This window comes from Homo sapiens, chromosome 14 (assembly GCF_000001405.40).
Source record: "Homo sapiens chromosome 14, GRCh38.p14 Primary Assembly".
NCBI lineage: Eukaryota > Metazoa > Chordata > Mammalia > Primates > Hominidae > Homo > Homo sapiens.
This window is the reverse complement of record NC_000014.9, coordinates 28,927,458-28,942,845: the sequence shown is the minus strand read 5'-3', so window position 1 is coordinate 28,942,845 and position 15,388 is coordinate 28,927,458. Positions and strand designations below refer to the sequence as shown.

Genomic DNA, 15,388 nt, shown 5'->3' with positions numbered 1-15,388 from the left:
GGTAAACTCAGTAGAGGCAAAGAATCTGTGAGTCACCAAAATAAAAAAATAAATAAAATAGTCTGATTCTGATGGATTTTGGTTGGACTTAGAATGTGTTTTAGAGATACACTACAAAATATAGGCCCTTCAAAAGAAACAAGAATTGTATGGCGCATCTACCTCCAACTCTGTAGACTACTATAAAATTTTCAAATTTGAGGAATACTTCAAAGTAACCAAAAATATTATAACTTTATCAATCTGGTAAGTTCTCTGTCAGGACCAATTCATTTGCTATTTATTGTATTACCTCATTTGCTATTCATTGTCATTTGTACTTTTATCATCATAACTTAGCATTAATTACCACAGCATTAAAATAAAATTCCATTGTAATTCTATATTAATGGCATAAATGTCTCAAAGTGACACCTATGTTTAGCAATTTATTTTATCAAAGAGATGTCCATTTATTTTTAAAGACCTTTTCCACATAATTATAGGTAATGTCTAATTATCAAGTCAATATATTGATTATTTTTCATTAGAGTTATCTAATGGAGACTTGCCATTCTATTATTTGAGAACGAGAATTTCATCATTAATTGAATCTTGATTTTATAAATAAGAAAATAATAATTTACTTTTAGAAAGGGGTATTTTTTTCTCATTAGAATACACTTAGTTAATTCTATTCATTATCTAACCAACTATAAATTATCTTCCCAGTAATGTTTAATATGGTTTGGTATGTTCTTAAAAAGAAATCCTAATTATAACGCATCTCTATGTCAGTCATCTGTCAAAAGTGGTTTTAGTTCCTAACTTTGACATGCAGAATATTCAATATTCTCCTTAATTCATTGTATATTTTGGCCTCTATTTTCTTTGCAAATATAATTAGTCAGCATATTGTATCTCTTTTGTCAGGAAAAGACAAACCTGACTCTAATCTTAATTAAATAATCCAGCCCAAAAATCAGATATCAGATCTGTATCATACAATAAGATTCACTTATTGAAGGACCCATTTTGGGAGTGATCCTTAGACTGCTCCATAATCCCTGGACTAGGGAGACCAAAAAGCACTACTGTCACTGAAAAATATCAGTTGGGCCAGGAGACTAGATCCAAGAAAATTTGACTAACAAACTCTGCAGCTTCAAACTATAGCTACACTTACTATTTAAAAAAACCCATTGTGTAAAAATTAAACACCTCTCATTTTTCTGTTAGCAATTATCAAACTTTGGAGTATGAAAGAATCACTAATTTCCAATCCCAGAAATTCTGATACTCATGGATCTGTGGGTACAGCCCAGCCACTGCATTTTTACCAATAGGTCATGGAATGCCAGTGCAAATGAATAATGTTCAACACATAGACAAATATCCTGAAACTCCAGAACATAAAATATTTTTAATAGAATAAATACATCTTATGAGGATATGCAAATTAATCATAATTTTTTCATCTCTTTCTGAGTTTAAGCTACACACTGATCACATTGCTCAAGAATCAGACCAGACTATTAGAAAGAGCTACAGAGGCCGGACGCAGTGGCTTATGCCTGTAATCCCAGCACTTTGGGAGGCCGAGGCGGGCAGATGACGAGGTCAGGAGATTGAGACCATCCTGGCTAACACGGTGAAGCCCCGTCTCTACTAAAAATACAAAAATTAGCCAGGTGTGGTGGCACACACCTGTAATCCCAGCTACTCGGGAGGCTGAGGGAGGAGAATCACTTGAACCTGGGAGGTGGAGGTTGTAGTGAGCAGAGATTACGCCACTGCAATCAAGTCTGGTGACAGAGCGAGACTCCATCTCAAGAAATAAAAATAAATAAATAAATAAAAATTAAAAAAAGAAAAGAAAGAGTTACAGAAAGACATTTGATCCCAAGGTGACACTGGACTCTCTGAACTTGAGGGAAAGTGTAGAATTCAAAAGGGTTCCAAAAAGAGCTGTCTCTTCTCCATCTACTAGGTTACTTGAGCCTATCTGAAAGGAATTTTAAAATCCATGGATAGATAAAATCTCTAAAAAATTAACTCTTGCCAGGTGCAGCGGCTCACGCCTGTAATCCCAGCACTTTGGGAAGCTGAGGCGGGAGGATCACGAGGTCAGGAGATCAAGACCATCCTGGCTAACACGGTGAAACCCCGTCTCCACCAAAAATACAAAAAAATTAGCCTGGCGTGGTGGCGGGTGCCTGTAGTCCCAGCTACTCAGGAGGCTGAGGCAGGAGAATGGCGTGAAGCCGGGAGGCAGAGCTTGCAGTGAGCCGAGATCATGCCACTGCACTCCAGCCTGGGCGACAGAGCGAGACTCCGTCTCAAAAAAAAAAAAAAATTAACTCTTGCCTGTGACTCTAAAAATTTTACAAGCAGCTTTGAGGAAACAAAGAATGTTTAAAGCTTTTCAGTCCCAGTAATATTAATTGACGAATATTATAGCACTCTATAGAACACAGTGTGAATACTGAAACCAAGTGTTTGTGAATGTGTGTGTCAGTCCCATCACCTCAATTTAAAGATGTGTTACCTGCTATGATTTACAGGTACAAGGACCTAAAAAAAAGACATTACCACTTCACACCATGAAGTGATCCAATCATACCGTGTGACGTGTGTTAATAATTAACAGTTACAGAAATATAAAGATATAGGTCTATAATTCTATGTTAATTATGTTATGTGTGAATATGCTAATACAACCCTGATTTTGTATTAAGACTTCTAATGAAATTGAACTCAAATACTTATTATTTATAACCGAAAATATTTTAAAGTAAGTTTGAAAATCTAGAGTTCCTCTATTTATGACAAACCAACAGCCAATATCATACTGAATGGGCAAAAACTGGAAGCATTCCCTTTGAAAACTGGCACAAGATAGGAATGCCCTCTCCCACCACTCCGATTCAACACAGTATTAGAAGTTCTGGCTAGGGCAATCAGGCAAGAGAGAGAGATAAAGCGTATTCAATTAGGAAAAGAGGAAATCAAATTGTCCTTGTTTGCAGATGACCTGATTTTATATTTAGAAAACCCCATCATCTCAGCCCAAAATCTCCTTAAGCTGATAAGCAACTTCAGCAAAGTCTCAGGATACAAAATCAATGTGCAAAAATCACAAGCATTCCTACACATCAATAACAGACAAACAGAGAGCCAAATCATGAGTGAACTCCCATTCACAATTGCTACAAAGAGAATAAAATACCTAGGATTCTAACTTACAAGGGATGTGAAGGACCTCTTCAAGGAGAACTACAAACCACTACTCAATGAAATGAAAGAGGACACAAACAAATGGAAGAACATTCCATGCTCATGGATAGGAAGAATCAATATCGTGAAAATGGCCATACTGCCCAAGGTAATTTATAGATTCAATGCCATTCCCATCAAGCTACCAATGACTTTCTTCACAGTATTGGAAAAAACTACTTTAAATTTCATATGGAACCAAAACAGAGCCTGTATTGCCAAGACAATCCTAAGCAAAAAGAACAAAGTTGGAGGCATCACGCTACCTGACTTCAAACTATACTGCAAGGCTACAGTAACCAAAACAGCATGGTATTGGTACCAAAACAGAGATATAGACCAATGGAACAGAACAGAGGTCTCAGAAATAACGCCACACATCTAGAACCATCTGATCTTTGGCAAACCTGACAAAAACAGGAAATGGGGAAAGGATTCCCTATTTAATAAATGGTGCTGGGAATACTGGCTAGCCATATGTAGAAAGCTGAAACTGGATCCCTTCCTTACACCTTATACAAAAATTAATTCAAGATGGATTAAAGACTTAAACGTTAGACCTAAAACCATAAAAACCCTAGAAGAAAACCTAGGCAATACTATTCAGGACATAGGCGTGGGCAAGAACTTCCTGTCTAAAACACCAAAAGCAATGGCAACAAAAGCCAAAATTGACAAATGGGATCTAATTAAACTCAAGAGCTTCTGCACAGCAAAGGAACTATCAGAGTGAACAGGCAACCTACAGAATGGGAGAACATTTTTGCAATCTACCCATCTGACACAGGACTCATATCCAGAATCTACAAAGAACTTAAACAAATTTACAAGAAAAAAAAAACCACATCAAAAAATGGACAAAGGATATGAACAGACACTTCTCAAGACATTTATGCCGCCAACAGACACATGAAAAAATGCCCATCATCACTGGTCATCAGAGAAATGCAAATCAAAACCACAATGAGATACCATCTCACACTAGTTAGAATGGTGATCATTAAAAAGTCAGGAAACAACAAATGCTGGAGCAGATGTGGAGAAATAGGAACGCTTTTACACTGTTGATGGGAGTGGAAACTATTTCAACCATTGTGGAAGTCAGTGTGGCGATTCCTCAAGGATCTAGAACTAGAAATACCATTTGACCCAGCCATCCCATTACTGGGTATATACCCAAAGGATTATAAATCATGCTACTATAAAGACACATGCACACGTATGTTTATTGTGGCACTATTCACAATAGGAAAAACTTGGAACCAACCCAAATGTCCATCAATGATAGATTGGATTAAGAAAATGTGGCACATATACACCATGCAATACTATGCAGCCACAAAAAAGGATGAGTTCATGTCCTTTGCAGGGACATGGATGAAGCTGGAAACCATCATTCTGAGCAAACTATCACAAGGACAGAAAACCAAACACTGTATGTTCTCACTCATAGGTCAGAATTGAACAATGAGAACACTTGGACACAGGGCCGGGAACATCACACATGGGGGTCTGTAGTGGGGTGGGGGGCAGGGGGATGGATAGCATTAGGAGAAATACCTAATGTAAATGACAAGTTAATGGGTGCAGCAAACCAACATGGCACATGTATACCTATGTAACAAACCTGCACGTTGTGCCCATGTACCCTAGAACTTAAAGTATAATAATAAAAAAAGAAAATCTAGAGCTCCTATTTTATCATATGTCTGATATTACTTTTTCTAAAACATACATAGTATTTAGCTATAGGCTGTGTGTCTCCTTGCCAAAGTTAAAATAATTTTTTTTACAATCTAGATAAATTAGATGAATAATAAATATGACTGATAGATCAGAAAAATCAGTTCAATAGACATACAATTATTCACTTAATTTGGGCAAGAAGGGAAGTTACTAAAGATTGCTCCCATTAAGGACTAGATAGATGCAGGCAGCAACTGATGAATCAACTAGTACATCCTAAAGCATTGTCTTCAAATAAACTACACATTTTTACTGATTATATCTGCATATGTGTGAGTGGTTATACACCCCCACACACACACATTCACATACATATATACATACACACATATACAACACACATATATAAAGAGAGAAATACTATTTTTTTTAGATTATATGAACCCCCAACAGTTTCTTTCTTAAAGTCTTGTACCAAATTGCCACAAACACCAACCATGATGTAAATAAAGTAGTATTTGTGAAAATAACTTTCACTCAAATTATTTTGGAGTAAAAATTACTAAATATTTTAGAAGCAATATTAAGAAAATGGTAATATTATGATATATTATGTTATTTTCTCCCATTTTTGAAGGAATTTGACTTCCTGAAGCCCACTAAGCAAGAAGAAAAAATAAAAGAATAAATTACTGCCTAAATGTCTTTTTAAACAATCTTTTAAAAACTATTTTTTGTTTTGTGGAATAATCCTTCAATTCAAATGAACTAAACAATGAAACTGGCAACATAAAATATAAAAATTTTTTAGCAGCTGAAATGTTTTTTAAAATACCTACCTCTTTAATATTTACTTTCATTTAAAAGGTTCAATGCTTTATGGAAAGTAAAAGAAAATATTGAACTCACCAAGCTCCAGTTTATTTCTTTAAATTTAGATTTCAGTCTGCAGTGTGATGTATAGCCTTGTAAATGTATGAGTTACATTTATATGATTAGTGTATCTGTGACAAACCTTCAACTGTCTTTTTTGTATACAGTAAATCATAATCAGCCTGTGAACTTTTATGTGGAAAGTGCTGTTCTACATTTATCAGGCTTTACATTTTCTAACTCTGTGGATCCAAGTAATTTACTAGGCACAAGATAGCACTGAGTAAACATTTGTTGAATTTTTTAAAACAGTAATTATACTTATAAAAACAGACTGAGTTAATATAAATAAAAATATTGAAGAGTAAAAATTTTAGAAATATTTAATAATATATATTAGTTAGAACAAATTCTATCTATGTAAAGTTTGGCTAACAATAATTAGCAATATAAATCCCTTGAATTAGTAGCCAGACTCTCAGAGAGTGAGCATATAAAAACTTTATTTGAAAACCTATTAAAATATAGATAAACAGTTTTTGGCATAGAACAGTGAGGAGATGCAAGTAAGGACCACGGAAGCAAGATAAATTGAGATCACTCATTCCTGACATCATGATGATATTGCAATCTTGGATATCAAACACAGAAATTAAATCTAAGAAAAAACTTGTCTGCCTGGAAGATGCAAAATTAAGATCTAGAGTACATCAAGAAAAAAAACAATTTAATAATTGGGGAACTGTTGGGGGAAAACATGGATTTTATGCTATTTTTAATATTAAGCAGGAATGCAGTTTATAATTTTTGGCATTCAGAAGTGGACCACCCATGAACCCCAACAATAGAAATTCCTGCTCATGGACTCCAACTCCAATTTCCTCTTCTTGTCGACCCCACCAACCTGCCCATCCAGAATCTATGGCCAGACTGACTGGTGAAGGGTTTTCCCTTCCAAAGCCGGTCTACAATGACTGGTAGAAGCGACTACTTCTTCAAGTGCACAGACACCAAGGCAAGGCAGCAAGGATAATAAAGAATCAGGGAAACAAAAGATCACCAAAGGGACAAAATAAAACCCCAATAATAAACCCTAAACACTAGAGATCTGTCAACTAACTGACAAAGAATTCAAAGTAATAATATTAAAGAAGCTCGGTAAGCTACAACAAATACAGATAAAGAACAATAAAAATCAGGAAAACAATACAAGATTTTGGCAAAGATATAGAAAGCATGCAAAAGAACCAAACAGAAGTTCTGGAGCTAAAAAATACAGTGACTGAACTGAATACTTCAATAAATAACTTGAAGAGCAGCTCAATCAATAATCAATAAACTCCAAGACAGGTCATTTGAAATTATCCAGTCACAGGAGAAAAGAGAATAAAGAAGAAATAAACTCTATAGAACTTACTGGACACTGTCAAGTGAACTAAAATACACATTATGAGAATTTCAAAAAGAGAAGAGACAGAGAAAGGAATAGAAAGCTAATTTAGAGAATTAATGACTGAAAACTTGCTAAAAGTAGGAAGGGAAATGGACATTCAGATATTGAAGTCCCAAAGTCCTCAAATAAGTTAAACTTAAAAAAGTCTACAGTAAGACACATTAATGAAATTATCGAAGATGAAGAGACAGTTTTGAAAGCAGCAAGAGAAAACAACTCATCACATTCAAGAAAGCTTACATAAGACTATCAGTGATTCCTCAAAAGAGACACGCAGGCCTGAAGATAGTAGAGTGATATAGTCAGTGAAAGAAAGCAAAACACTATCAACTAAGAATACTATACCTAGCAAAACTGTCCTTTAAAAATGAAGGAGCAATAAAGACTTCCCAGACAAACAAAAATAGAGAGTTCATCACCACTAGATGCCTTAGAGAAATGTTAAAGTGGATTTTTCAAGTTGAAATGAAAGAACACTAAACAGCAACATGAAAACCCATGAGAGTATAAATCTCAATGGTAATCGTAAATATATAGACGAATACAGAATAATGCAACCACTTTACCCTAGCATAAAAATTAAAAGACAAAAGTATTAAGCATGACTATAACCACAAAAACTTTTAATGAATAATAATATAAAAACAAAGAAATTCTGGCATCAATAATATCAACTGTATGTGAGGGATGTGGAAGTATAGAGTTTTGTATGTAATTGAAGTTAAGTTGTTTTCAGCTTGAAATATACAATTATAATTATAAGAAGTTTTATGCAAGCCTCATGGTAACTACAAAGAAAAACTTCTAGCATATCCCAACGAGTAATAATAATACATAGAAAGGAATAGAAGTATGTAACCTTAAAAAATTATCAAATAACAAAGACAACAAGAGAGGATAAGGGAAACAAGAGAACTACAAAATAGAAAACAATTAACAACATGGCAATAATAATTCCTTAGCTATCAATAATTACTTTAAATGTTAATGAATTAAACTCACCAATTAGAAATAGAATAGATAAATGGGTTAAAAAATTAGATCCAACTGTATAATCCATACAAGAGATGCACTTTTCATTTAGGTACACAAATAGGCTGAGAGTAAAGGAATTTCACTGGAAAAAGATACTCCATGCAAATGGTAACCAAAGGAGATCAGGAGTGGCTCTTTTTATATAAGACAAAATAGAGATATTAGTCCAAAACTGTCACAAAAGGCAAAGAAGGTCATTATATAATAAAATTGTCAATTTGACCAGAACTTATAATAAATATATATGCACCAAAATCAGAGCATCTAACTATATAAAATAAATATTGACAGCTCTGAAGGAGAAATAGATAGCAATACCATAATAGTTGAAGACTTCATATCCCACTTTTAATCACGGAAAAAATGGGCAAAGAACTGAATAGACATTTTCTCAAAGAATATGTACAAATGGCCAACAAGTATATGAAAAAATGCTCAATATCATTAGTCATCAGGGAAATGCAAATTAATATCACAATAAAATAAAATTCAAACCTCATACCTGTTATAATGACTAATATTTAAAAAATAACAATTGGTAGTGAGGATGTGAAGAGAAAGAAACTCTTGTACTAATGGTGGCACTATTAATTGCTATAGCCGCTATGGAAAAGGGTGTAGAGATTCCTCAAAAGAACAAAAATAAAACTTCCGTACAATCCAGCAATTTGATGTCTGGTTGTATATCCAAAGGAATAGAAATCAGGATTTCGAAGACATATCTCCACTCTTACATTCATTTCAGCATATTCACAACAGTCAAGATATGAAAGCAACATAAAAGTTCATAAATGGATAAAATGATAATGAAAATGTGGTACATAAAGGCAAGAAATATGACTAAGTCTTAAAAAGAAAGGCAATCCTGCCATTTGCAACAACATGAATGAACCTGAAGGACATTATGGTAAGTGAAGTAAGTCAGACACAGAAGGACAAATACTGCATGACACCACTTATATGAGGTATCTAAAATAGTGAAACTCACAGAAACAGAGTAGAAAGGTGGCTACCAGGGGTTAGGGAATGGCGAAATAGAGAGATATTAGGAAAGGGGTACAAAGTTTCAGTTGCACAAGATAAATAAGTTCTACAGATGTACTTTACAATGTAGTGCCTATAGTTAATAATATTGTATTACATACTTAAATATTTACTCAGAGAGTAGATCTTAAGTGTTATTATCACAAATAACAACAATAACAAATTAACTAATAAATAAGGCAAGGAGAAGGAAGAAGTGGATGACCCATGAACTGAGTTAAAAAGAATGCTGTATCAGTAAAGTTAGATGGCATATGGGATTGGAGAGAGTGGCACGCAATATCCATTCCATCTTCCTTTCAACGTGTTATATTTCCAAGATTCCTTTACAGATGGGTTGAGATGTTATCCATGCTCAAGCAATATGAGAAACTAACATGAGATTTGGAAGCAGGAGCATGGTAGGTCTGTGCTCCCACTGATTCTGCTGTTTCTGCTTATTGGCATGTTCATGGTAACACTGGACTTTTCTGTGGCAGCATCAGCAGAAGTCCCAGTGATGAGTGACCAACTTAATAGGTGTTGAAAGCCAAAATGGAGCACATTCATTTTAGTACATTTTCTCCTGTAATGAGAATATATGATCTGGAAATTGAGGGTGTGTTCTTTTGCAAAAATTTCCTTCTTCATCCCACAACATTGACCTCTTTTGATTTAGAGGCTATAATTTCCAAGAAAGTAATATTTCCACAAGATAGCACACTGGTTCCTACAACTGGAAGTTAAAACTACTAACAGGCTATTTGGGTGTCCTTATGACCATAAACTTTTTTTAAAAAAGAGGAGAAAAAAAGAGGTTACTCTGTTGGATAGAAGATTGATCTTGGTTTTAAGGGGATTCAGGGTTGGTATTAAAGTGTGTGTCAGGCAGCTTGTAAGAATCTGTGTTTTACAGGACTTGTTGGGATGTGTCATCAAATTACCATGTCCAGAGTTAAAAATTCATGTACAATTTCAGCAGTTCAAGATAGCCAAGGCCACCAGTGGCTCAGACCCATAAAGAATGAAGATTGGCTTTAACCCACTCACCATCTAATGCCATAGAGCTAAGAATATAACAGGAGCATGAAATTCAGAGTAGAAAAAGGATGCTGTGAATACCAATCATCATCTTATGACCATTCAGATAAACAAATGCCATATTTACTTCCTTTTTCTTTATGTATTTTATTCTATGTAGACATATTTCCTTTTTTATATTCCATTCTCCCACTTCATAGTATGTGTTGTTTTTTGATAACTTTATTAAATATGTAGACGGGAAGATAAGTGCACTGGAAGAGGAACTGACGTCATCCAGAGGAGTCTATGACTAATAGAAGCTTGGCTTCTTTTGGGAACAGTATAAGTAGGTTTTATTTGTATGGGAGAATCATTGCATTGGATTGGGTGAAAATTGATTGTTGTAGATAATATTGTTTGGAAATGTATGTACAGGAAGAGAAGCATGAATGGTCAGGAAATGGACAAACAGAAGAATAGTGGGAGTTCTGGTGGATTTGTGCTCACTGTCCACACCACCATCAATACTAAGCTTTCCTACACTTTTGATGCTAATAAGCTAAAATCCACATTTCTGAGTCTCTTTTGCAGATGAACACAGAATGTGGTTTAGGTTTGGACAATAAAATATAGTAACGTGATATTTGAAAGGAGGGTAGTTTGAAAGCCACAGGTCTACCGTTTCTGTTGGTCAGCATAATCACAGGGGCCCTGGATTTTTCTACAACAGCATTTTCACAGATCCCAGTGCCCAATAATTAATTTCTGAATATTGAAAGGCCTCCAGGCATCCATTTTTGCTTGTGCCAATATAACAGATGTAATGTGGCTCTGGAGTCAACAGTACATAGTTTTCTAATCTATGGGTTGCATACCTAAAGCAATATATTTCTAGAGCGTATGGTTGCAGTGACAGTACTACAGATTCTTAATTACAACAGAAGTAGAAATTCTCCGGGTGGGTTACTTCTGAGGTACTGGATCCTGTTATCCCGGCCTTCCAATAAATTTGTATGAACTTAATTCCTGTATTAAATCCTTTTCTGCTTTAAATAGCCAGAGTAGTTTCAGATATCTTCAACTTAAGCCTGATTCAAACAGATGGTATACTGAGAAAGAAACACAATTAACCAAATTAAACCATTCTATGTGATGAAAATCCATCCTTCCTGAGCATAATGTGAACTGGAAACAATAATGTGTTGGGAATAGAGATAATTTCAGTAGAAACGATGTTGACTGATTTATCAAGAAATTAAACAGAGTTATAATTTTCAATAAGTTCTTGCTTTTTATTGTTTTATAGCTAAGTTAAATGACTTCATTAATATAACTAGTTCTTTCTTACTTTGAACCCTGAGCTATCAGCTTTATTTATTAGTCACACATGTATTTTTATTTGAATTTGAATTTCATATTACTTTAATAGTCACAGTTTGTTATTTGCCACTTATTTGCTTCTTATAAACTATATATTTATCCACAAATTTTGACACCTGAAAAGCAATGATGCATATCCATATGGATGTTTTCATACTATAGAGATGAAAAAATGTATGTTATACAGATGATAAAATCTAACAGTTTTAGGAGAAAATGTCCTTATCTGTAAACAGAAAGAAAACTCATAATTAGGTTCAGTTAAGATCAAGTATTCAAATATAAATTAAATACTTTTATATTGATTTAATTTTTGTTGTAATCTCCAATTCTTTTTCAAGTCAAACTGAGGTATTTAAAGAAAGACACTCAGAGACACAGTAATTGGGTCATGTAAGTTTCTGAAATGGTGGCTGATTACAAAGGTCCGATCTGGGGTTAAAGAGGGCAATTTACCCACAGTTTACTCAAAACACCAAATGTCTGATCAATTTAGTAGTTATCTAGCATGGATTTTGTTTGGATCTCCTGCTTCCACTTCTTTTCTTCTCAAGATGTCAAAAATGTGGAGTTGTGCAACCTTCTTATACTACCAAGGTACATAGAATCACAGGTAATTAAGAAATATAGGTGGGCAGGGAAACATTATTAACTTTATTTAGCTTTGCCTGCCTGAACTAAAGCAGAAAGGACTTTCAGCTCTAAATAGGAAAAGAAGTAAACATCTACCTTAAGTAGCAATGCAGAATCTATTTTCCACAGATACTGAGGATTCACATTATCAGTAATTTTAGCATAAAAACAATTCTAGTAGCCATAAATTGTACATTCAAAGACAGTTCACCATCATAACTACAGGATTAAAAAAATTCTCATGTAATACCTAATATACTGTTTCTACATTCTGTGTTCTAATTCTCTGGATTTATAAATAATGATTGATATGTTCACTCTAGTTTTAATTTGTGTGAGTCTGATTTTGTTTTCCTACCATTGGAGAGAATAGACACATACATGTGTTTGGAAGACAGGAGTTTCTTTAAGATTTAATTATAGGTATAAATGTCCTATTTGAACTAGGCAAAATGCGTATTAAAAATGAAAGTTGTAATACATTACTTACCAAGTTGATTTCCTATTTTGTTAGGTATTGCTAGATGTACAACCTTTTTAAAATGCTGTAATTTCAAAAAAGTGAAAAACAATCATTAGAATATTTCTTGGAAATAATATAATAAAATATCAAATGATAGTCAGTTTTTCCCCAAAATACCAGCCCACATATATGGAATAATTTGATGTTGAAATAATAAAAATTGTATAATTAGGAAAATAATTTACACATGATGGATCCAGTGACGGTTCCTTTGCCAAAGGCTTTCTTTCCTTTCAAATGTTTCTGGAAGCTTATAGGATAGAAGTAAATTGTATGATAAAATGACTTCTAAATATCTTGGAGCCAACAGTACTTTATGTTGTCTCATCCCTACAGACAGTAGGAAACCCTCTTGTTGTCTAAGACAGTGTTTGATAATAACCATTTGCTCCTTGTTATATTACTTGAAGTGCTCATCATTTGAGATACGTAATGTGTTGGGAATCTCCTACTGTCCTCTTCAATTGCCACACACCATACCTTCCATATTCTCTCTGCAAGCCATTTTTTAAAATCCTACTTTCCAGCTGAGTAGATGGAGGCACACAATATTTTCTGAGTATCCCATGAATTTCACATATGGAATTGGCAAGAAATATGTGCTGACCTGTCCACCCTACCCCCACCCCCATGTATAGTCATAACAGACAGCAAAAACAAAGTTATAGTTGATATTTCCCCCTTTATCCATAATGTATCCAACACTTCAAATGTTGAATAGCATCTTAGAAAAGAAAAATAAAATTTGAACTAGATAAGAAATTAAGTTGCATAACTCCCAAGAAGAGCAATATCTTTTAATACAAGATTTTAAATGAAATTAAAAGCAAAAAAAAAAAAAAAGGAAAAATGTCTTGGTGGCATGGATGCTTAAATTTTGGCACTAAATGCAGTGTAATTACCTGAGTAGTTATGTGGCAATTCAGTTTCTGGTTAGCTGGTAAAAGGAACAGTGTTACTGAAAGAGACATATCTCGACTCTTTTGTAATTGAGTAACAAAGTATAATTTTGAACTAGATCTTGAAGCCAAGATACAGCTAAAATTGGCATCTCTACATTATCAACAGTCAAATATCTATATATATGCATCTTACAAGAAAAAATACATGATTTAATCCTGAGTCTTTAATCACACATAAACACAGAAATATGCACAAAAACATATATACACTCATATATATGCACATATTAATACACACATGTAGGCACAAATACATACAATTTCATTCACTTAAATATGTACACACATACTCATCCATATATATGTGTACATATACACATATACACGCAGACTTGCTCTTTCTCAGAACATATGGCAGGACACTGGCCTAGCCCTAGTTTGATGTCTTTTTATAAAAGATTTATGCCCCCTCTCCACCTTCTCTAGATTTTTTACAGCGCTAAAGCAGGGGTCAGCAAACTACAGTCCATGAGCCAAATCCTCTCTACTACTTGTTTTTCCAGGGTCTGCAAGCTAAGAACAGTGTTTACATTGTTAAATGGTTTGAAAAAAATAAAAGAGGCCTAATACTTCATGACATATGAGAATTATATGAAATTCATATTTCAGTGTCCACAAATAAAGTTTTCTTGAAACATAGCAATGGTCATTCACATATATACTTACCTAAGGCTGTTTTGAGCTACAAAAGTAGAGATATTGCTCCAGAGACTGCATGTGTCTCTCTCAGTGTTTCACAGTGATGCCCAGGACACTACAAATCCCAGTGTTACAGTTAACAATCGACAGCATTTCAGGCATCACATGTGTCTGCATACTGTGACATTTTACTATTATTCTTATTATCCATGCATATCCATTATGTCAAAACAAAAAAAAGGAAAAGCTTTTAAGATATAGTGGAGTGTGGATTTGTTATTGAATTTGGTAAAATAAAATTTATTTACACTATAACTATGCTAAAAGTACAAAATATAAGTTGACATTACCAGAGCGAGTATTCATCATAGCAGCCCCAATTCACCATGATGGTTAGAAAAATTAGTAAATGCAAAATGGAATTTATTATCACGGCAGCATTTTTATACACACACACACACACACACACACACACACTCACATTGAAATGAGCATAAAACTACAGTTTCTGAGAGGTTCATTTGTTAGCCAAGCAAGGAATGTGATTCACCAATGGCGAGTTAATTAAATCATATTTGATTGCAACAGACAAATACAAATGTTTATAGAAAATAAATTTAAGACTATTAGCCTTTTAGCGAGAACAGTTGTTCAACAAACTAAGGACATAAGGAGAAAAAAATAGTAAGTTAAAAAACAAGGTATGAATATTATACTGAAATTCCTAGCAAGAATAACATGCAAGATAAAGAAGTAAAAGGCATAAAATTGGAGGAAAAGAAGTGAATCAGCCTTTATTTGCAAATGATATAATTAGATATGTAGAAAATCTTACAGACACTACAAAAATCTCCTGGAACGAATAAGTGAAAATTGCAAGGTCACAGGATAGAGATAAACATA

At 34.0% G+C, this 15,388-nt stretch overlaps 1 long non-coding RNA gene across 7 annotated transcripts in view; it reads right to left on the bottom strand.

Moving 5' to 3' along the window:
* The window catches only part of LINC02327 (long intergenic non-protein coding RNA 2327), a 138,162-nt gene that overhangs the window by 25,551 nt on the left and 97,223 nt on the right, over window positions 1–15,388 (bottom strand). For 5 of the 7 annotated variants that reach the window (NR_184195.1, NR_184194.1, NR_184190.1 and 2 more), the window contains one exon: window positions 12,852–12,906. This is a non-coding gene — a long non-coding RNA (long intergenic non-protein coding RNA 2327). Of the gene's footprint in view, window positions 1–10,677; window positions 11,458–11,619; window positions 11,955–12,851; window positions 12,907–15,388 lie in introns of those variants that run through there. The other 2 variants (NR_184200.1, NR_184198.1) reach the window with 2 other exon arrangements.